The 24,833-nt window shown below is 38.1% G+C and overlaps 1 long non-coding RNA gene across 1 annotated transcript in view, besides 3 other annotated features; it reads right to left on the reverse strand.

Moving 5' to 3' along the window:
- LOC105372190 (uncharacterized) overlaps window positions 1-6,964 on the reverse strand; it is a 312,925-nt gene extending 305,961 nt beyond the window's left edge. The window contains exon 1 of the long non-coding RNA XR_007066468.1: window positions 6,902-6,964. This is a non-coding gene — a long non-coding RNA (uncharacterized LOC105372190). The remainder of the gene's footprint in view (window positions 1-6,901) is intronic.
- Window positions 6,964-7,464: an enhancer, noted in NCBI's record as "H3K27ac hESC enhancer chr18:71358526-71359026 (GRCh37/hg19 assembly coordinates)". NCBI's record gives its function as "activates a minimal SCP1, AML or CMV promoter by ChIP-STARR-seq in primed H9 embryonic stem cells {active_cell/tissue: H9 hESC(primed)}" and the evidence as "EXISTENCE:reporter gene assay evidence [ECO:0000049][PMID:30033119]".
- Window positions 7,465-7,965: an enhancer, noted in NCBI's record as "H3K27ac hESC enhancer chr18:71359027-71359527 (GRCh37/hg19 assembly coordinates)". NCBI's record gives its function as "activates a minimal SCP1, AML or CMV promoter by ChIP-STARR-seq in primed H9 embryonic stem cells {active_cell/tissue: H9 hESC(primed)}" and the evidence as "EXISTENCE:reporter gene assay evidence [ECO:0000049][PMID:30033119]".
- Window positions 11,092-12,291: an enhancer, noted in NCBI's record as "MED14-independent group 3 enhancer chr18:71362654-71363853 (GRCh37/hg19 assembly coordinates)". NCBI's record gives its function as "activates an origin of replication core promoter dependent on BRD2, BRD4, P300/CBP and CDK7 cofactors, and independent of MED14, by STARR-seq in HCT116 cells {active_cell/tissue: HCT116}" and the evidence as "EXISTENCE:reporter gene assay evidence [ECO:0000049][PMID:35650434]".

Raw genomic sequence — 24,833 nt, forward strand, 5'->3', positions numbered from 1 at the left:
TCACTGCATAGAAGCACAGTGCTTTCCGAAAGATTCAATATCATGCCTATGTTCAAGAGTGATAGTACACAGGCCAGAAAAGTCAAGAACAAGTTCTTTTCCCTTCTTGTAATGAGAAGACTGATGTAGACAAAGAGGATGAGTTTTGCAGTATTTAATTAGGATTCACAATAATTGCTTATGTTGAGCCCTTTGAACATGGGGAATTAAGATTGCAGAATACTTTTTAAAAAATCCCTCTTTTTGTATCTGTGGTAATATGAAGTTTCTTAAGGGTATTCATTTAACAATGACAAATGCATATAGGTAAGAATGAGGTTGCAGGTAAATTTATGGTATCAATGTCATGGAGAAATTAATAGGATTTACTACACAACAGGATTTCTTATAGAGCTGTTTTGAACATATGAATGATGCATATGTAGTAGGATTGATTTTTAGCTCTTGGCTTTCAAAATCTTTACCATGAAAGACTTGCAGCAGTGGCATTGATTCTTTCATGAGGTAAATATAGCAGGTGATTAAGTCTGTGACTCACCCTGGAGGCACTGTAGAAGAAGACTTTCTTTTTCCTTGTTTTAAATATCTTAGTTGACTTGCAGTTCATTTTCACAAAACAAGTAAAAAAATCCCTTCTGATTATGTATTCATATTAAGTACCATTTTAAAGTGCAGATCCACTAACAGCAAGCTTCTATTGCAACTTGATATTGAGACACTAAGGGGGAAAGGAAGGTTACAGAAAGAGTCTTTGGATTTAGGATACTTTACAAAAATGTTGTTATCACCTTTTCCCTAAGAGAAGGGCATTACTTTTTGTAACTAGTTGTTAAGTAGTATTGTCCTTAAGAGTTAGCACCCATATAAGAATATAAGAAAAGTAAAAAGCTGGTGAGTAGCTAAAATCCACTAACTCAGTTTTAAGAGGCTTGTAAGTTTTTCCCAAACTCTTTGCAACCAGTGGTGCTGTGAGTACTATTGTTGTTAGTGGTGCTGCTATTAATGTTATCATCATTACTTCCTTTGATTAGATAGCAAATCTATGTTATGACACAGAATTCAAAACCCTAAAACCGTGAAAATGTACTTAATTTTCTCATTGTGTTGAATTTATTCCCTAAAGGAGATATAATGTGTTCTTAAAACAGCAATTGAAAGCAGCAAAAAAATAAAATTAAAAAACAGTAAGAGACAAAGTGTTTGATAACAGTGTGCATTCAACTGTCTTGTTTATACTCCTGATGGGTATAAGATGAGATTTGCATGTTGTGTTTATTGACCTTGAGGTACCTGGAATGGGGCAGCAATGTCTGGAAGGTGTGCAAAATAGTCTCTGCTGTGGCTGGAGCAGAATCCCGTGGAGGGAAGGAGCCTTCGGGCCATCGTTAGTCGTGAAATTTGCTGTTGTGAGAAGGAGAAATTACCAAGGCAAGTGATGACGAAAGTGAATGCTGATACAAGGGAATCCAGACAGCCACTGAATCCTAAAATTAAGTCTGGAAGAGCTTCATTAGTTCTTCATAAGATGTGATGGAACTGAACATTATCCATATACATTAATGAAGTAAAGTTGGAGAGTTGAACAAAGGTGACAGAATGTGCTGGAAACAACTGGAAATCTTTACACTTAGAGACCCCAAGGTAAAGCATCCTCAAGAAACAGGCTGAAATATTTGGAGTAATATAAGTCAAGGTTGATAAGTGTGTGAAGAGGTTCAGAGGATAACTTTATTACAAGGCTGCTGAACAGTTTTAAAATAGTTTGAAATCCTCTTTAATAGAGTGTGCGATGATATGAAAATTTTCTGCCCTATAATATATAGAGTATGAGACTTTCTAAAATCAAATATTTGCATTTAAATTGAGTAAATTTATATATACTCCAATTTATCAAATAGGAGACATGAGTGACAGATTCCATTTTTACACAGCCTGTCCACCCTTTGTTTTTATATTCCATATGTCTTCATATCACATTTTGTTCTTCAGTATATTTCCAGAAAGAAACATTTTTTCTGCTGCTCTGAAGTAGACCCTCTTTATTCCTCGTGCCTCCCCATTCTCCAGCAGGGCCTGTCTCCAACCTGAGAGAACAAAGATGGCGGGTACTGTCCCTTCCAGCCTCTCCTCCAGCAAGGCACACTATGGGGCCCAATCCTGCCAGAAAGGTTTTAAGGGAGATATCAGATAATTTTTTCCTTATTCATAGAAAGTATCAAAGGACAAAAATGCCCCTGTCTTCATGAGATGCCCGGCTATCTCCATGTGACACCTGGAACACTGCATCCCTCTTGTAACCAGAGCAGAGGTGAACATGTTGATGCTGCAGAGAGGGAAGGAAAATACAACTCCTGAGTCCTAAACAACATTGTTGAACTCCTGCCCTGAGTCTGAAACCACCCTGGCTCCAGACCATTGATAATGTGAGATGACAACGTCGGTCCTGGGGAAGCCGCTTATTCATGTTGCATTCAGTTTCTGGCAGCAGAAACCCCTAACTGTCCCATCCCACCACCTTTCAGAATTACCAAAGAATCCAAATCACACCTGGATGCACCCCCAGGAGCTGTGAAAATCCAGGGCCCAATGGTGGTTACACCCCGTTCAAGCTAATGGGTTGAGTCGCATCTGCCCTGACTCTGGCGTGGTGTGAAACCCATCCTCTCTTCAGGCCTTCATCAGACCTGCCCTGCAGCCTCAGCACCTGCCAAGCACCAGCTTCCTTAAATCCTGGGGAGCCCCATTGACTTTCTACATTCAGGATGTGGTGGCTGTAATGAGCTTAGATGAGTCCCTGGCCTAAGACAAAGATGTTGGACAGAACTCAGAAAATGTACCACTTGATGTTTATGCTGTGGCTTTGCTTCTCAAATCCCACAGCATAAGTTACAGAAATGGACTTTGGTTTTTTTTAAGTTTGATGTTTATTTGCCAAATCCTGTGGGGATACAAAAGATGCATCTAGTGAAAAATAATAAGAGGTAACCTTTATTTCTGTGTGTAGGTAATATTCTAAGCCCATTTTGTATATTAATACCTCTGATGTCTATATTGTTGTTGTGATTCCATTTGTAAGTTTGTAAGTGAGAAAGCTGAGTTATAGAGAGGTGAAGTAACTTGACCAAGGTTACACAGTTAGGAATGTGCCACGTGACTGCTCAAATCCAGGTCACCTGGACCTCGAGTGCATGTGATACGTTGCTGTGCCATCTCCCCCCAGAGACCCTAACGATACAAAAGCAGCATGTGACTAAGCACCAAAAGGAGTATTTCAGAAAAATGAATGACATAAACTTTCAATTTCTGGACATGTTCATACGGAGAAAAGAAAACCCAACTGACAGGTTTATGGCAGAGATGTCTTCTACCTCGTAAGAAAAGTTAACTGAAATGCTCTCAAATACCATTCACAGTCATGTTCTTCAGGGCTATGAAAAACCCAGACAAGGCTGGCATTGCAGGATAGAACATTGTAGAAGGGCTTCATGGAGCAGCAGAACTTTGCATACACTGGACAGAGAGTGAGGATGTGTGAGGAAGATGATGGGAGTGGAGCAGGAGGGGGCTTCCATCAGCTATGTTCAAAGATGTCCCTGTGTTCTGGTTTATATGCCCATCATTCCATACGCCCCATGTGGATTTGGCTGACTTGCCCACACGGGGAGGCATCCCCTTTTCCCCCCAGTTCATGTGTTTTACTCCTCTAGATAAATATTTAGTTAACAGGAGAAAACCTTTGTGGGCAAAGTCAATTTCTTATCAAGGGTCAAAAGTCTTAAAATAGAATCAGAAGGTACATAAAACTGTTCTTACTCTTTATCCATCATTATTATGTACCAGAAGCTCTGATGGAGTGAAGATAAATATGTGAAGAACCAATCCATGTTCAATAACAGAATTTGGGGCAAGTAGGACAGGATCCGGAGGCACTGTGTTTGTGATGAGTGGAACCGTGCAGCGGTTTCTGGAAGCACATTGAGATGGATTCTGCTGATAAGGGATTCCATCGACTGGTCATTTGATGCATGGAACAAAACACTCACTAGTCTGAGCACCCAACCACACTGTAAACCAAAAGTGTCTAAGAGAGGTCTCAGTCAATTCACAAATTTATTTTGCCAAGGTTAAGGACATGCCTGGAAGACACACACACACACACACACACACACACACACAAACATGGAATCACAGAAACAGTCTGGTCTGTGCCTTTCTCCAAAGATGAGTTTGAGGGCTTCACTATCTAAAGGGGAAAAGTAGGCTGGAGGCGAAGGTGAGAGGATATGGTGGTCCACGTGTGGCAAGAGAAAAGAAGCAGGTAGGGAACTAGTCAATTACAACTCCTCTTGTACTCCGTAAAACTGACACTTTAATGAGATAAAATGAACGTTGAGTAGATAGCCGTGGCGATACTAACCTGTTGTCTGCTTGGGAACAAAGGGAAAGGCGGTTTCTTGCATGACTTAGCTTTCAGCTTCATTTTTTCCTTTTGGCATAGTGAGTTGAGGTCCTGAGTTTTTATTTTCCTTTCACAAAGCTAAGTCATTTTGGTTCGGCTGACAGTGCTATGTAACCTGACACCTTTAGCGAGCAGTCCCCTCATAGGCTTGACCCCACTGTTTTAGAGAAGTCTTGAAAAGTTCACAGTGCCTGCCAGGCAGTACCATTTGAGGCATTTAGTCAGTACATTTTGAATACATGAATAGCTGCCTGGCTATGAATGCACAATGTAATAAGCACTCTGTTACCAAACAACCATGTCAAGCATGTCTCCCATATATTGGACAATATATTGGAGACTTCTCTAAATGGTCAAGTGAGTCATGGTTGTTTGGTAATACAGTGCTTATTATATGAGTGAGGAACGTGACTCAGTACAATTATGACAAGAAATGCAATGGACTATGCTAAATGGAATTTGTAACGCTCATGAAAAGTGCTTTGGAATTTTAATGTGTGATTAAAGCATCTACTATTAACATTATTCCACAAAGAGCTTTACCTCTAACAATACATTCCTTGGTTGTCTGTCACTGGGTCTCTGTGCTTGACAGAGTTGAAAATGTTGCCTGTTTGCTGTCACACAGACATTGTCTCAGTATCACTTCCTAAAATGCATATTTGAATTTAGGATTCCAGCAAACACGGAAGGCACCGGTGGTTAAAGTGCCTCCATTTAGAAAATATGCTAAAAACAGCAGCTGGAAGTGCTCATCTGTCCAGGCTGAAGGCTGGCTTTCAAGATATGCTTTCAAGCAGTGCCACGAGGAGCAGCCTGGGCTGTCATTGGAGTTGCTGTCAGCGCGAAGCCTTGGTGTTGCAGGGCCTCTGCCATATGGAGCATCAAACCTTGGATCTGAATGATGATACAACCTGACTTTGCTGACAATCTCAGGCTATGTAAAAAACAGACTATAAAACATGTAGTCAAAATGCCATGTGTTTGAATAACACTTTACAGTTTTCAATACGCATTCATAGCCAAACAGCTATCCATTTATTCAAAATGCAGCGACTAATGCCTGGCAGGTGCTTTGAGCTGTTCAGAACTCCACAGCGGAAGCCAGAGCCTCGCCCTCAGGTGCTTACACTCTAGCAGGGGTCAGCCAGAAAGTCACCCTGTGAGGAGCTCTTTGGACCATGCAGCCACAGCCTCGGAGGCTAGAATCGATTCTAATTTCTACATATAGATAATTTTTTTAAAAAAATAGCAACACTGTGTGGTAGATGTACCTGACAGAAATAACTCAAGAAACTAGGGTTGCCACATGGAGGTTGCTGAGGGGAGGGTGCCACGTGAGGGTGCTATATAAACTGCATGCTTTTTACAAGTGCTTATCATTCTCCTCTCCAGCCTGCCGCTGCTGGACCATCACTGTATGTAAGTTCCCCCAAATAAAACCCATGTTTTATTCAGAATAATAATAATAAAGGCTAGAATCAACACTTTGGGGCACTGGGTAGGGGTGCTCCATCAGACAGGGCGAGAAAGACTCTCTTGTGAGCAGTGTCTGAGCTGGGACCTCAGAGACAGGAAGACAAGGAGAAAAGCATCCAGGCGGTAGGAAAAATAGGAGTTAAGATGACAGGGGCAGGAGCCCATTGTTTGGAGTCCCAGAGGAGGTCAGTGTGGCAGGAGCCCTGCTGAGCAGCTGGCGGGGGCAGTGAGGAGAGTCAAGAAATAAAAGGGCTGAAAAGGAACCAGGTTATGTATGCAGCTAATAAGGGTGTTAAATTTTATTGCAAATAAAATGGCAAGATGTTGAAGGATTTTAAACAGGAGAATGAAATGAATAGATTTGAAATGTAAAAGAGTCATTTTAGCATCACGTTCTGATGATGTTTATTCTAATCAAAACTGTGGAAGGAAATTTATTGTTGACTCTACTGAGTACACGAGGAAACTGATGCTCAGAGAGGATAGTGTCTTGTCCTAGGAACTTCAAGGAGTGAGGGAGAGCATCAGTCCCCAGGTCTCCTCATGCAGAGCTTCCTGCTCGTTTTTTTCCACTACAGTTGCCTCCTTTATATCTGCCTGTAGCCAAGTTATGTGGAACAAAATCAAATGTCAAATAGGAACATTTTCTTTAAATGTCTACATACCTAAAATTATTTCGGATTATACTTGTGGCGTTAGGTTGAGCTGATGAGAAATGAAAGTGTGGCTGAAAATGCATTTAGAGATTTACTCTAGAATAAGAATAATGAAAATGCTTGAAATAAAGATTTAATCTGATTGACTGAAATAAGTTACATGTGACCAGGCTAATAGGCTACATTTAAACATTCCACTTTAAAACATTTTTTAAATTCTTTTCATGAAGTCATCTGTCTGAGACTTCCCCACTACAGCCCAGAACATCCCTCCTTAGAAGCTCACTCCACGTTTTATGACACTTACCTTCACATCATCTTGGAGCATCTGTCAGAGGCGTCTGAACCAGGGCGTCTCCATCTTGAATAGGGGCTGGGTCAGATGAGGCTGAGAGCTGCTGGGCTGCATTGCCAGGAAATCAGGCATTCTTAGTCACAGGATATTTGCAGTCACGGAAACAAGTTAATATGTTTACAAAACCGACCCGGTGTTACAGTGGGTGGCTAGTCAGACAGTGAGCAGGGCAGGAGAGCTGCCCCCTTCCCACACCAGGAGTATCAGGCAGCCATCTGGTGATGGTCAGGCAGTTGTTAAACTTTCTCTCTAAAGTAATAATTGGTCACAGCCGGTGCCAGGGAAAGCCCATCTCCCAATAGATAGAAACACCTGAAACTAGTGATCGTCTTCCCAATAACATCTCGGGGGTTGGGCGAGTGGGCTTAAGCATGTGCACTAAGAGGCAAAATGGTGCAGTTTAACTGGTGTGTGACCTTCTAGGAACACTCAACTGGTAGGGGAAGAACGCCTCAAATGAGCATGGGTACAACTTCAGTAAACACACTGCCCATGCGGTCCCTCCCAGGCGCTGGCAGGCCAACGAGCATGCAGACAGCCCACCCCGAGGGAAGACTGAGGGGAGAAGGGACACAACACCCCTCCCAAGTCCTGGCAGGCCAACCCGCATGCAGACAGCCCACCCCGAGGGAAGACTACGGGGAGAACGGACGCAACACCCTGGAATCATGCCAACATATAAACCCCAAGCTCAAACTGTGCACTTGTTCTCTCAAGTCGCCCACTCAGCCCTCTTCCAAGTGCACTTTACTTCCTTTCATTCCTGCTCTAGTGCTTTTTAATAAACATTTACTCCTTCTCTAAAACTTGCCTCTCACTCTGCCTTATGCCCCTTGGCTGAATTCTTTCTTCAGAGAAGGCGAGGATTGAGGTTGCTGCAGACCCATATGGATTTGCTGCCGCTAACACCAGGATTTAACAGATCCAGGAGATAACAGACCCAGAAAATGTCCTGATGTCCCAATATCCTAAGAACAAGAACATTCTTAGTTTAAGAATAAGTTTTGCTTTAAAGATAATAATATAGATTCTTGTGGAAGAGAGTAGTTATGCAAAGATTAACAATCCTTCATCACAAGCCCTTGTAGCAGAGCACACCTCCCCCATGTTTTTTTTTGTTGTTTTGCTGTTTTATATATAAATGAGCATTGTACCTAAGGTGGATGTGTTCCTTCTTTTCCTTCTGGGAACACCATGCTCTGTCTAAGGTGGATGTGTTCCTTCTTTTCCTTCTGGGAACACCATGCTCTGTCTAAGGTGGATGTGTTCCTTCTCTTCCTTCTGGGAACACCATGCTCTGTTTAAGGTGGATGTGTTCCTTCTCTTCCTTCTGGGAACACCATGCTCTGTTTAAGGTGGATGTGTTCCTTCTCTTCCTTCTGGGAACACCATGCTCTGTCTATGGAGTAGGCTTTCTTTTATTCCTTTACTTTCTTAATAAACTTGCTTTCACTTTACTCGGTAGATTTGTCCTGAATTCTTTTCTTGTGCAAGATCCAAAACCCTCTCTTAGGGTCTAGATTGGGACCCCTTTCTGGTAACACACCTGCTATGAAGAAAAAAACTCAATTAATATTTTTATAATTAATGTCATTGCTCTAAATGCATCGAAAACATAAAGAAATAAGAGTTGTTGACATGTTAGGATAGTGTTAGAAATTGCTAAGTTATTGTCCAGAAAAAAGGGAATAATTGAAAAAAATAAAAATTAGAAAAGTAGGTCCTGAAGCACATTAAGCATTTAACAAATCATATAATTGAGAATGAAGGTAAGCCTTCATCTCTGGTGGTATGAATGTCTAGATACCTTGACTATCCTGTGGCTAAAAACAACTAAAAATGTTGGATAAAATGAAAAATATATGTAAATGCCTTTAACCTCCTGTCAACAAAATTAAATAATACGTATTAGAAGACTGAAACACAATGAAAGTATGACTTCATAGAAACAAGCACAGCAAGGAAACCAACTTTTCCCTTGAAGATATTTATGGACTGGGATACACTGAAACTTTGGTTTGTCAGCCTGTGGGTTGGGAAAGTCAGGAGACAAGCCCAGGCTTGCTCAGTGTTGGGGGGGTAAAATAGAAGACCTCTCTGCAAATAAACCTAAGCTCAGAAAGGGGTAGTCTTGACTGTGAAGAGAATGTTAGAGCAATGGTCTGGCTTGAACCAGGGTACAGAGTAGAGAGTTGAAAAATAGAGACTCTTCAGTCTTACCAGGAATTCTGGGAAAAAAAAAAACAGAAGAAGAAGAAGAAGAAAAATAAAGACTCAGGAAGAGTTAGAACAGCTATACAGTTCCATAATCACATTTGAAATTTTATCAATAGGTCAACTCTTTCTCCAAAGAAACCACCAGGCCCAGTTTACAGAAAGTTCCATCAAAGGACTCAATGCATCTTTCATAAATGATTTTAAGGTGTAGAAAGAGACTACCACAAATGTGTTCAGTGTAAGTTTATCATACTGACACTGACAAGCGCAGTACAGTACAACCTCCATTGTGATCATAGATACAAAACCAGAAACAAAGTTACAAAGCAAATCCAGCAATGTGACAAGAGGATAATACAGTAGGAGATGTTTGTTTGTTTATTTATTTTTATTTATTTATTTATTTATTTATTTATTTTTTGAGAAGAAGTCTCACTCTGTAGCCCAGGCTGGAGTGCAATGGCACAATCTCGGCTCACTGCAACCTCCACCTCCTGGGTTCAAGTGATTCTCCTGTCTCAGCCTCCCGAGTAGTTGAGATTATAGGTGCGTGCCACCACATCCAATTAATTTTTGTATTTTTAGTGGAGACAGGGTTTTGCCACGTTGGCCAGGCTGGTCTCAAACACCTGACCTCAGGTGATCCACCCACCTCGTCCTCCCAAAGTGCTGGGATTACAGGCATGAGCCACCATGCCCAGCCTCAGTAGGAGATGTTTAATAGAAGAATTAATAGAAAATCAATTAATGAATTATACTACATGAACATATAAAAGGAATTAAATTCCACGATTATCTCATTAGATACGGAAAAATTATTGAGACAATTCAATGTCCATTCATGACAAAAATGTACAGAAAACTGGGGAAAAATGACTTTCTGAAGGTGATAATTATACAGCAATTATAATGCTCAGTGATTACCTAATTACAGTCAGGAACAAGTCACGAATTGCTTTAATAGCAGTTCTAGTCACTCTTCTCCTGAAGGAGCTTGCCAGTTCATTGAAGCAAGAAAAAAATGTATAAATATTTGAAAAACAAAATTAAAGTCATTGTTATTTACATATAATGGGTATTGAAAGCAATAAGTGAAACTATAAATTGGAATCAAAATCACTATGTAAAATCTACACATAAGTAATAAGAAAATGTAATTTAAAAGATACCAATTACAGTAAATATCAGTTATTAATTTCCTAAAATCAATCTTAAAATATACAAAAATTTATGGGAAAAATGTTGAAATTTTAATAAAATGCAGTCATGCACCACATAACTACATTTTAGTCAATGATGGACCTCATATTACAATGGTAGTTCCATAAGATTATAATGGAGCTGAAGAATTGCTATGGCCTGGTGATTTGTGTCCCAGTTGCCTACAGTACTTGGTAACATGCTGCACAGGTTTATAGCCTAGGAGCAATAGGCTATACCATACAGCCTAGGTGTGTAGGAGGCTATACCATCTAGGTTTGTGTAAGTAAGCACTCTTTATGATATTCACACAATGATGAAATTGCCTAACAATACATTTCTCAGAATCTATTCATGTCATGAAATGATGCATGACTATATATTAAAGAACAAAAAATGAAAAGGAGAATTACATCCAACTAACAGATTTTAACACTCAACGTCCTAAAGATATCAATTCTGTACACATTTATATACCTATACCCCCCAAAAGGAAAGCCTTTGTCTCTTTTTTCCCTATCTCTGTAGACACAGGGACAGAGAGAAAAATATAAACAAGTAGGCCTTGCTAAGATCCCCCCAGCTTGTTACCATTAGATCATACCTCTGGACCAGTCATACTTTTTCATAGTTATCCACTTCTTCATCAAACTTGGTAGCAAAATACACAGTCTTCTCTGTTTCTTTGGGTCTTCATTTCCTATGAAGTCTCTCATTTCACATAAAAATTATATGACATAAGAATCTGTATGCTTTTTTTGTTATTAATCTCTCAATTGTTGTAGGTGTTTTCACCATGAACCTAATGATGGGCAAGGGAAGAAATCTTTTCTCCCCTGCACACTCAAGAAGAGATTGAGGCACACCTCAAGAAATGAAAGGACAAAGTGCATACCTCACCTTATATTTAAAACATGATGATGAAAACACACTAGTGTTGTGCTTCTTCAGACTCCAGGTTCTTTTCACTTAAGCCTATTCTATGCAGGATACCGGCAACTGGGGATAGGCAGAAAGAAACATTCAGCCTGGTTCTTACAAACATGCCTATGTGGCTGATTTAGTTCATCCACAAAGAAGAATGCAATTGACTCTCCTTCTCCAGAATGACATTATCAGCACATACAGTCAAGTGCCTGGGTAAGAAAACAAATGTACCTGCAACAAAGGTGTAAAATGTTAAAAGATTAAACAGATGAAGAAAATCCACATTGTCAAACACACAGTATTCAAAGCACTTGGCGTAATTTTTCTCGATCTTACCTTTAAGTAAGTTTGCTTTAAAATTACTTAATGTGGCATTCTCCATCACACAATTACAGTCTTCATAGGTTCATTCATTTGTTCATCTGTTCAATGAGTATGCATTCAGGCAGTGTTCTATTAAGTTTGGACATTCTTGTCTCACCATGAGTAAGCAGATTTAGAACTAATTATCCTATTTGTTTATATCTCAGGAAGTATAGTCTTAAAATACTGATTTTAGGAAATGTTTTCCAAGATCCATATGCCAGTAACGAAGTAAAGCTTGAGAAAACTTTGTGCTCTTCACTGAAGTCTTTTAGCCATCCTGGATTGTGGTATGTGTAACGAAGAGCTTGAATGGGCATAGAGGCCTTGGGAGGAGGCCCTAAGCACTGGCTTCCACCTATCTGCTAAGGCAGTTTGCATTTCACTCCAGCAACCCTGATTGTCATAGGGAGGACTCTCCACCTAGAACCAGAATGCCTAGAATTCAAGTCATGCTTCCTTACTTACTAGCTTAGGGAATTACTCAGAATTTATATTTCCGTACTTATACATAAGGGATAAAAATATCTACCTGACAAGGTTTACTAAGAATTAAGTGACACATTTTACCTAAGAGCCCTCTGAAATGAAAAAGATGTATAACGAGTATAAGTTACTACCAGGGCAAGGTAGTAAGTAAGTAGCCGCGGGCGGGGGGGATAGAAATATTTTGAGAGCCATTCCCCTTGACTTATAGGATAGTCAAGAAACTAAATATAGTGAAAACAAAAACTGAAGTTTAAAATGTGGGCACATCAAGAAATTTTAGCTGTGGTCCATTGTAGACATGTAGGATTTATAAGAGCATTACAAAGGGTTAAGAAAATCTGAGTACCCATGGCCAAATTAGCAAAGAGAGATATAGTAGGCGTACTCAGCATTATCCTGAGAAAAATAATGCAGTAGGAACCCTGATTTCAAGCCAAAGTCAGCTGTTTTGTGGAAGCTGCAGTAGTGATTTTGGCTAGAGATTTTTTCAAATACAATCTCCAGAGGGAATAGTGATATTATTCTGGTTTAGATCCAAATACCAAAAAAAAAGCACATTTTAAAATATTACAAACAATTTGAAATCTCAGGCAGGGTTTCACAGCAGCAGCAGAATTGGCCCTATGCAGTAGCTATTTATAAGTGGCAAGGCCCTTTTTCTGTATTTCGAGGGCGCAGAACAAGGTAATAGCCCCCATCGTGATGTTGTGTGAGTGAAACGCTTAGACTTTGATGGAAAATGCAAACAAGACAACTTTTCTATGTGTTCAAAGATTAGAAGGAATTCAACTTTTTTAATTAAAAATTTTATGGAGGTAATTATAGATTTATGTGCAGCTTTAAGAAATCATACAAAAGAGATCCTATGTACATTTTACCTAATTTGCCTGGTATTAACGTTTTGTAAAAACTATAGTCTAATATCACAACTAAGATATTGACATTGATACAATTCACCAGCCTTATTCAGATTTCTCCAGTTTAACTTATACTCATGCTGTGTGAGTGTGTGTAATTTCGTTTGATTTTATCACATGTATATGTTTATGTATCCACCAGCACAATCTAAACTAAACATTCCGTCACCATGAATATCCCTTATCAACATAAGGGATATGTTCACACCCAGTTCCAAACCCCTAGCAACCACTATTTTACCAGCATTTCTAAAATTTTTGTCAAGAATGTTTTATTAATTAAATCATACGGAATGCAACTTTTTGGGATTGGATTATTTTACTCAGCATGATTACCTGGAGATTCATCTAAATTGTTTTAAGTATCTATAATATATTCCTTCTTATTGCCCTGTAATATTCCATGACATGTATGTAACACAAGCTGTTTAACCGTTCATCTGTTGAAGGACATCTGGGCTGATTCCGATTTGGAGTTATTACAGATAAAGCCACTATTAACATTTTTGTGTAGGTAGTTGTGTAAACATACATTTTAACTTATAGGGTAAATGCTTATGAGTGTAATTGTGCTGGATGGTGTGGTTATTATGTGCTTAGATTTTTAAGAAACTGTCAAATTATTTTCCAGAGTGGCCAAACCGTTTTACGTTCTCACCAGTAATGTATGAGAGATCCAGTTTCTCCTTCTTACCAGCATTGGGTGTTGCCACAATTTTTTTCTTAATTTAGCCATTCTGATAAATGTACATTATTATTTCATTGTGGTATTAACTTGCATTTCCCTGATAGCTAAGAATATTTAACATATTTTCATATGTTCATTTGTCGTGTGTAGATCCTCCTCAGTAAAATGTCTGTTCATGGCTCTTGCCCATTTTTTAATTGAATTATTTGATTTTTAGTCTTGAGTTTTGAGAGTTTATTTATATATTCCAGATACTAGTTCACTATATGATGCATAATTAATTTGTAATAATAATTACAAATCATTTTTATTTATAGCTTCTCTCACTATATGATGTATAATTTATAATAATAATTACAAATCATTTTTCCTTATTTATAGCTTCTCTTTTCATTCTCTTCACATGAATTTTCACAAATAGACAAGTCCAATTTGTCAATGTGTGAAGGACAATTTGTTAATTATTCCTTTTATGGCTCTTACTTTTCATGTCAATCATATGAACTCTTTGTCTTGCCCTATATCTCAAAAATTTTCCATGTCTTTTCCTCAAAAGTTTTATAGTTTTATATCTTACATTTACTTTCATTGTCCGATTTGAATTTTTTTTATATAATGTGAGTTTTTTATTGAGGTTCTTTCTTTGTTTCTTTATTGCCTTTGAATTTCCAATTGCTGCAGCACACTTTGCCCAAAAACTCTGCTTCCTCCAGGGAATTTCATTTGCACCTTTGTCAAAAATCTGTTAAGCCTATTTTTTTTCAGTCTATTTTTGGGTTCTTCTCTCTATTCTGTTGATCTATAGGTGTGCCCCTCATCCAGTGACATACTTCATGCCACACTGTCTTGATTACTGTAGCTTTAGTAGGTCTTGAGATAGTGGATAATTGTTTTTGTTACTTTATTCTTCTTTTCCAAGATCATTTTTGCTTTTCTGCGGTATAAGTTTATCTATATTCACACAATACCTTGCTGGAATTTTTCAGAGGAATTGTATTAATACTATAGATCCTTTTGGGGACAATTAATGTCTTTACCGTGTTGATCACTTTAGAAAAAATGAACAACCTTGCTATGGGGAGTCATCTAATCCAGGAACACAGTGTGTTTTCAGTTTATTTATGTGTTACTTAATCTCTTTCATCAACTTATAATTTTCATCATACAGATTCTGCATATGTATTGTTTAGTGTGTACTTAGCACAGAAAGTGTGCATTCTGGGGGGTGGTTGCAAGTTGTGTTTCTTTAATTTTTATTTTCACATGTTTATTGTGAGTATATAAAAATGTGATTGATTTTTGTTTCTTATCATGTATCTGCAACCTTGTTGAACTCCCTTAGTTCTAGGATTTTATGTTTCATAGATTTCTTGGAATTTTCTACATAGATAATCATGTCCTATGTGCATAGAGATTTATTTCTTTCTACTCAGTCTCCATGTCCTTAATTCTTAGTCTTTCGTAAGTATGTATAATTTTAGCTGTAGGATTTTGTAGACATTCTTTATCAAGTTGGGGTAATTCCCCTCCATTCCTACCTGGCTTAGAGGTTTTATCAAGAGTAAGTATTAGATTATATAAAATCCCGTTAATTAACTTTTCTGCACAACTTGTATGATCAAATATTCTTTTCCTTTTATTTTGTTGATGTGCATTTTCATTATATTTTGAATGGTATAGATGGTCACCATAGATTATCACTATTATTGTTCGTCTGTATCACCAGCCAGAGATAGTTTTGTCTCCACTGTGAAGTTATTTGTTGTTTTCCTCCTTTCTATTCTGTGCTTTTTAAAAGAAAGTCCCCATGTGGAGCCCTCACTTAGGGAGTGGTGAGTTATTTTCCACCTCCTTGAGGGCAGAGTTTCTACATAAATTATTTAGAATTCTGCCTGAGATATTTGTCTGTTTTCCTCATTTATCCATTTATTCTATCATTTATTTCAGTATGGACCTATGGATATTTATTTTATATTTCGGGTTATAATTCAATGCTTTAATATGTTGCCAAATTCAACTTTGGCCACTGGAAGCTCTTGCAGGTAACCCCTTTGTCCCTTTGACATGCCCACATCATTTTTTTCTTCTCTTCCTTATTTTCTAGCACTACAAGATGCTCCAAGCTCATTGTATTTATATGTTCTCATGCTGCTAATAAAGACATACCTGAGACTGGGTAATTTATAAGGAAAAAGAGGTTTAACAGACTCAGTTCCACATGGCTGGGGAGGCCTCACAAGCATGGTAGAAGACCAAGGAAGAGCAGAGGCATGTCTTACATGGTGGTGGGCAAAAGAGAGCTAGTGCAGAACTCCCATTTGTAAAACCATGAGATCTCATGAGACTTTTTCACTATCACGAGAACAGTACAGGAAAGACCCGCCCCCATGATTCAATTACCTCCCACCAGGCTCCTGCACTGACACCAGGGAATTATGGGAGCTGCAATTGAAGATGAGATTTGAGCCAAACCATATCACTCATCTTGTATATCCCCTTGCCCAATTCTCGAATTAGCCATTTCTCCAAGGAGCCCTGTTTTCACTTATTGAAGAACAGTATTAGAAGCCCAAATCTGGGAATTCAGTGTGCTAATTGCTACTGGGTGTCATTACTTCCAGGTCTTCTCAACTGACAAAGCAAAGAGATAGGTGTGTTTATACTAACTGGTATATGCACACGCAAGTAGAAACACATGTCCATATGTAATCATCTTTATCTATATCAAGCTAAATATGAGTTCATACTAATATCTCCAACTCTAATCCACTGCCACATGGACCATTGTAGCCTTCTCCCCTTGCTTATCCACTTCAATAGTGAGAAACCTGGCTCCCACCATGGTATTAGAAATGTTAATCCACACCCTTTTGGGAGACAGCACTATCAAATCAACTAGAGTGCTTGCCTGCAGTCTCTATTTCCTTGAGTGTTATAGATCCACTTATTTACAAAGCTACTTAGGTCAGCATCTTTCTTCATCTTCTTCAGTGAGATTGTTTTATATATTTGCAATACAGTTAGATTCTTTTGTTGTATTCTACATTCCATCCTGGGATTCCCTTAAATTCCTGAACAATAATATTTTTTGTGTAGATTAATACTAACTCTTCGTGCTATAAAATTCTGTGAGTTTTGATAAATGCATAGTGTCATTTATCCAGCATTATAGTATCATACAGAATAGTTTCACCACTATAAACATCTTCTCTGATTTACCTATTCAACTCCCTCCAGTACTCCCAAAGTAATGGCATCTATAAGTTCTTACCATTTATCATATATGACATTTTGCATTTTGAAAAATGTAATATAATTGCAATCACAATCTATTTAGCTTTCCCAGACTGGCTTCTTTCACTCAACAATATATATTTGAGATTTATTTATGTCTGTTGTGACTTGACAGCTCATTCCTTTTTGTCATTGAATTATATTTCACTGCATGATGTACCACTGATGGTTTATCATTTCACCTATTGATGAACATCTTTGTTTCTTCAAGTTGTTGGTGATTATAAATAAAGTTGTTATGAACATTTTTGCGTGGACATAGTTTACAAATCAATAAATACCTAGGAACACAATTGCTAAATCTTATGGTAAGACTGTATTTTTCTTGAAATGAAACTCTCAAATTGTCTTCCAAAGTGGCTGTACCATTTTGCACTCCCCTAGCAATGTATGAGAGTTTCTGTTGTTGCATGTCCTCTCCAACAATTGCTATTTTTGATGTATTAGATTATAGCCATTGAAGTTGGTATAAAGAGATTCTTCATTGTTGTTTTTTCAATTTTCTAATAATAGATGATGCATCTTTCATCTTCTTTGGTGATATGTCAGTTTATATCTTTAACCATTTTTAGAACTTCGTTTTGTTGGCTTATTATTGAGTTTTAAGAGGTCTTTATTCACTTGGGATCCAACTCCTTTACCACATATAAGTTTTGTAAGTATGTTCTCCCATCTGCAGCTTGTCTTTTTATTCTTTTAACAGAATCTTTCACAGAGCAGATTCTTAAAATTTTAATAAAGCCCAACTTATTTTTCTTTCATGGTTCATGCTTTTCTCACTGTATCTAAAACCTATTACCAAATCCGGGGTCACCTATATTTTTTTATTTCTCTTATTCTAGAAAAAATGAAAGACTATTTTCTCCACACTTATTCTTTGCCTGATGCCCTTCCTTTCCTTATGTAGGTCTGAGTTTCTGGCTTGTATTATTTTCCTTTTCCCTGAAGAATATTTAAGATTTCCTGCAGGGTAAGTCTGTAAACAAATTCTCTCACTTTCTCTGTGAGAACATGTTTATTTCAGTTTCACTTTTTGAAAATAATTTACACTGGAGATAGGATTGTAGTTTTTTGTATTTTTTCAACATTTTTATTACTGTCCACACTGCCTGCTTGCATGGTTTCTGGGGAGAAGTCTGCTATACTTCTTACTCTTGTTCTTCCTGTAACTGGAGGGGCCAGAGGTTTCAGATTCCTCTGGGGTCCTTGTTTCTGTATCCCCTGTTGACTTATCTTGCCTAATTATTTATGCTTGAAGTCTTGCGAGTCTTTGAGCTGTCAGCACTATGATGACCTGAGCCCTGTGAGTGTGGTGGTAAGGAGTGGGATAGGGAAGATGTTCTATAATCTTCCAATTCAGTCGTTAGTGGGCCAGTGTCTCTGGGCTGTTACAGCCCCACATGTTTCTTCTTGTATGGCCACTTCCTGCTTTGTTGAGCCAGGAAGGCTAGAGAGGCTAGAATGGGATAAATGCCCTTCTCCCAAGTGGGACAATACTGTGGTCAAGACTTCACTTGGAGGGCAGGCCTTTACTCTGAAGGATGCTCCATGTGCAGTTCACAGTGATTGTTCTTCCTCTCCCCTGCCGGTGACATAAAGGGCCCTCTCCCAGCTCTTTACTGTCACAGTCTCATGGGGTTTCTGGAGGCAAATAAAACCCACTAAAATGTGGAGTCCTCCCAAGACTTCAGTCCCTAGGAGTTTCTCACTCTTATGCTCATTCACACTCCACTTCTAGCAATTCATCAGAATGACCACATCAGTGTTCTGGCCAGTTAATAGCTCCAGCAGCTTCTGCACCAGGTAAGCAGATCTCATTTGTGGCTCCCTCAATGCACCTGTCTTTCCAGACTTTGAGATGGTAGTTTGCCCTGTGACCTCAATTCTATTGGGTTTCAAGAAAAGTAATTGTTTTTCAGTTTGTTCAGCTATATCGTGGAGTAAAGACCTGAAAGTTTGCAGCTGCCTAAGAAGACAATAATTTATTCAAGTTTTAGGCTAGGTGAGTATGATTTATAGTTTTACAGTAAAGTCCATGGGGACAGAGTTCACCTATGTTTTGTTCATCATCTTGTAAGTAGTAGCTACCACAGTGCCCTCAGATGGACTAAACTGTAAACAAGCTTATTCCTGACTTTAGACCCTGACCTTTCTTTCCTTAGAGCATTTACTTTTAGAAAATTTGTAAATCCTCTGCACCTTTGAGATATAAATTTTTGTAGACTCCTCTTCCCAGGTTTATGACCCAGAACCATCTCTCTCAAGGACTTGGAAACCATCCCTTTCAAATGTAATCATCATGGATGATACAGCCACTATCTCCCGAACTGTATGGACGTGTGGCAGCCTAACTTTGGAGGGTGCTAATTAGCAAGCACAGCTACCCTATTCACCAGAGAAAAACATTTGCAAACTCAAGATAACTCAACATTCTGAACACATACTATGTTTAACCTTAATATCCTCCATCACTTTTTCAGTAGTTTTCCCAGCACTTGAAAACCCTTTTGCCTTTTGTTTCAATGGGGTTGACTTCAGACTGCATTCTAGTTTCTCTCCTCTATTGCAAGAGCATTGAATAAAGTTTTCCATACTCATTTAACTTTGTCCAGTGCAATTTTGCTTTGACATAGGTCTAAAATCATTCCACCACACTATGTTTTCCTGGTTACTAGAATAAATTATTACTTTGACTACATTATTTATATAAAAGAAATTTGGGGAATTAGTCACCTCCAACTCAATTAATTTAGATCAATGATTAAATCTCTACATATGACAAAATATTATGTATTTGAATTTATTTTTAAGTAAAGTTTATATCTGTATATTAATTGAGGTGGAGTATCATATATTATTAACTGAAATTACATTTTCCTGTTTATGCAATATGGTAGTATCAGCTTCTTAGTTTAAGGAGATTTTAAAAATCACCTTTCCATAGAAGTATTTTTATATTTCCAAAATTTTAACCACCACACTAATGTGGAAACACGAAAAATTGATATGTAAAATAATCAAAACACTTAAGTTACTATAACAAAAGAGTAAGTTGGTTTGAGATTATATTCATGGATTGTAAACATACCTCTCAGGTATGATTTTTTAAAATAAATGCAGCTAATTTATAAAACTGGAACACTTTTTTGGGGGGGAATGAGAAGAGAAAAAAATGGAGCGAAAGCATTGTTGAGACAGAAATCACAGTGAAAAAGAAAATAGGACAGAATAAAACAGAAACAAAATAAATGAGCTTGACTGTAAGAGATCAACAAAGTAATACGGAAAAAATGAAAATACAAATAGGATCACATCTACGGAAGTCATATAAAAAATAGACAGAAAATCAATCTTTTCATGGGAATTATTTTCTTCATTTTGTTAACTCTAGAGAAAATGAAATTTGTTTGTTTAACAAATTATTCCTCGTTTTTGCAGCTCTAGGCATAAAAGTGCTATAGCAATGCTATACATCATTGAAAAACATTTACAGACTCTAAAGTACTTCCACATAAACTGCCTCATTTAATATCATAATAAAGGTATAAATTAAGCATCCTTAATATTACCCTCATCTGACGTGTAGAAACCAATGTCCAGAGGAGTGTTCCTGTCTTCAAATTGTCAAACATGGTTGTTAAAATGACATTTTTGTATATGATTAAGGTCTTCTGACATTAAACTCACACCTATTTCCTTCTATCAGGCGCTTTCAAATCTGTTTGTACATCAAAATGTCATATAATACTTTAAAAGATATCCAGGACCCACTTTGGCACCTAAATTGTAAAAGTTATTCTGGCAATCCGTATGTACAGTCAAATTTAAGAAACACTGTGTACATACCACTATGTAATGGTAAGACCTGATTGTACATGCCTACAAGATGTTTAAAATTGATTAAACATAAAATTGGGAATTGACAATTTCTGTTATATGTTAGTCTAATTTTTATAAAGGGAAGACATTGGGGCTTTTCATATATTAAGTTTTAAGTTAACAAAACATCATAAATTAGCTTTTGGCCTACACTACCCCTAAACATGTGAAAGCTGGGGTGTCAAAACTCTTCAGCCCTCTGTTACACATCAGTATTTTGTGCACCATCTATAGGGGACCATTTTTTCAAAATTTTAAGTAAACATATGCTTAGTTACAGTAATTACACTTCGATGTATAGCTGAACCTGTAGAAATATCATATGTACAAGGTGCCTTTAGTTAGGATAAAACCAAAACAGCCACAAAGAGAGACTCAAAAATACCATGGCTTAAAAAATAGAAATGTAAATCAATCTCTCTTCCCCCCCTTTCTCTCTCCAGTTCTCCCTCTCTTTCCCCCTTTCTCCCTCTCTCACTCTCTCTCATGGAATAATCTCAAGGTCAAAGGATCAGTACAGATCAAGGAAATCCATCATCCTCCACATGGGTTTTCCATCTCTGGGTCTAAGTGAGATCATGCATACCAATTTGCTCCTATGGCAAGTGTACACAGCAAACACTGGCTAAGGCCTTGTGCTTTGGAAATATCCATCCATTTATCCACTGGTAGGAAGAAAAGGCATCTAGTCACTTTTGCCTCCCAAATGAAGTTCAGGAAACCAATAAGGACGTGCTGAAAGGATAGGCTCCAGATGATGCTCTTCCTCCCAGGGTGTGGGGTCAGAGACTAGATGGTGGCCCTGTCTGGAAGGTGCATAATACTTGACGAGAAGACCAGGGTGGAGATTTTGCCTGTCTCACCAGTGTTTCTAGTGTTTCACGTTTCTACCAAACATGTTTGTATGTGTGCATGTCTGTGTGTGTGTGTGTGTGTGTGTGTGTGTGTGTGTGTGTGTAACCTCCAGCCCTGCATTTTCACCAGCTGTCATGCATCTAAGAGTTTAAAGAGGAGCTGGAGGAGTTAAAAAGTGAATCACATCCATGAATCCATTAAAAAAAAGTGTGTGGGGGTGTGTATGTGTGTGTGCACATGCATGAGAGATAGAGACGGGGAAATATTGGGCCTTTAGTTTTATGAAACTCAAGCACTAGTAGTAAAGTAAATATGGTTTCAGGAGGATTTGCCTAAATTCTGGAGAAAGATGATGACTTTTATTTAAAATCCTTTTTCACTAGAGATTGCTTCTATAGAAGAAATTTTGGGTTTGCTGAAAACAGTATGCATATGTATAGTAAGGTATAAAGTTTTGTTGTGAGGAGTTTTAGATATAGCAGCAAAGAAATGATCTATGAAAGAAATAGTTAATGACTGGACTTAATTAAAATTAAAAAATTCCACCCTGGTAGAGACACTGTCAAGAGAATGAAAAGACAACCTACAGACTGGGAGAAAATATTTGCAAACAATGTATTAGTTTGTTGTAAGAGTAATTGCAGTTTTTGCCATTACTTTCAATGTGTACTATTTGATCAAGGACTAGTATCCAAAAATTACAAAGAACTCTTAAACCCAACAACAAGAAAACAAAAGCCCAGTTAAAAACTGTGCCAACTGCCTGAACAGACATCTCACTAAATAAGATATACAGATGGCAAAGAAATAAATGAGAAGAGGCCTTAATTTGCATTTCTTCATGTGTCATCAAGGAAATGCAAACTGAGGTGACAATGAGACACCATAACATACCTATTAAAATGGCCAAAATTCAGAACACTGAATGCTGGTGAGGATGTGGAGCAATAGGAACTCCCATTCATTTTCGGAGAGAATGCAAAATGGCACCACCACTTTGAAAGACAGTTTGGCTATTTCTCATGAAACTAAACATAGGCTTATCACAAGATCCAGTAATCACACTTCTTGGTATTTACCCAAAGGAGGTTAAAACTATGTCCATACAAAAGCATGCACATGGATGTTTACAGAAGGCTGATTCATAATTCTCAAACTTGGAAGCAACAAGAATGTCCTTCAGTAGGCAAGTGGATAAAGTGTGGTATATTCAGCCAATAGAATATTATTCAGTACTAAAACAAAATGATCTTTCAAAACATGAAGAAACACAGAGGAACCTTAAATTTGTATTACTAAATGAAAGAAGTCAATCTGAAAATGCTACATACTCTGTGGTTTCAACTACATGGCATGCAGAAAACGTCAAAACTATGGAGACAGTAGAAAGACCAGTGGTTCTCAGGGGTTAGAGGGAAGGGAGAGATGAACAGGTGGAAAACAGGGGACTTTTAGTAGTTTTTAGTGAAACTTACTCTGTATGATACTATTATAGGGAATACATGTCATTACATATATGTTCAAACCCATAGAATGTATAACACCCAGCATGAATCGAAATGTAAACTGTGGGCTTTGGGTAATAGTGATGTGTATTAGTCTGTTCTCACATTGCTATAAAGAAATACCTGATACTGGGTAATTTATAAAGGAAAGAGGTTTAATTGGCTCACAGTTCAATAGGCTGTACAGGAAGCATGATGCTGGCATTCCACTTGGCTTCTGAGGAGGCCTCAGGAAACTTCCAATCATGGCAGAATGCAAAGAAGGAATAGTCATCTTACATGGCCAGAGCAGGAAGAGAGAGGGAGGGGGTAGGTGACACACTTTTAAACAATCAGATCTTTTGAGAATGAACTCACTGTCATGAGGACAGTACCAAGGTGGGTAGTGCTAAACCATTCAGGAGAAACCGCCCCCATGATCCAATCACCTGCACCAGGCCCCACCTCCAACATTGAGAATTATAATTTGACATTAGATTTAGGTGTGGACACAAATCCAAACGATATTATTCCGTGTCAGTGCAGGTTCATTAGTGTTGATGGTCATACCCTCTGGCGGAAGATGTTGCTCATGGGGGAGGCTGTCTGTATGTGGAGACGTTAGGTACATGGTAACTCCCTGTACTTATTGCTGAATTTTGTTCTAAACCTAAAAGTGCTCTAAACAAATAAAATCTATTACAGACAGTAATTGTGGGTAAATAGGCATTGTGAGGGAAGGTGATTATGACATATAGTTTGGTGGGGTATGAAAATGCTTGTGGGGAACGTTAAATTAAGTAGCTGGCAAACAGGGATGAGAATGGAGAGGGCAGCCATGTATACTGGGGGACTGCAGTGTGTGGTAGTGGTAGGCTGGTTAGTCTGTGTTCCACAAGGTGCAAGTCCTGGTTTGTAATATGGCCAGCTTCCAAGGTGTAAACATTCCCACTATGGCTGATTTCGAGCTACCAATCTTGCCATTTCTGAACACAGAATAGGGAACGGATGTGCGCAACTGACTCTTGCAAACCAGGATGAGTTGACTCCAACACACTGCAGTGTGTGATGCAAAACCTCTCCTTAAATCTGCATCTCAATTTTCATTGCTCATTCAAGTTTTGGAATGGGATTCCTTGGAAGGCATAGGAGCGAGAGCAGAGTTAACAGGAAGTTGACAGGCAGCCAGTGCAATCTGCCCAAGTGGGCCAGTCACATGGCGGTCACAGCAGAGGAGGACTTAGCGCTAAAGCACTTTCATCTTGAGTTATGATTGCTTCAAAAATAAAAATCTAGCATTGTCAAAACACTTTACTTTCATCACCCACAAAAAATGTTTCTTGTTAGAAGAAAAATAGATGTACTGTTTTTATAGTAGGCTGTTTTATGATGTCAAAAATAATAAACCACATACAAAAATAAAATAAAATGAAATTCTACCCTTTGGTTTTAACTTGCAAATTCCTTTGTCACAAACTTTCAACTTTTCAGTCAGTTAACAAGTTTGAAAAATAATATAGTTAAAAATTAGAATGAAACCTAAGTCTGTTAAAAATGACAATTATACATTG

The sequence above is a fragment of the Homo sapiens genome, chromosome 18, assembly GCF_000001405.40.
Source record: "Homo sapiens chromosome 18, GRCh38.p14 Primary Assembly".
Lineage (NCBI taxonomy): Eukaryota > Metazoa > Chordata > Mammalia > Primates > Hominidae > Homo > Homo sapiens.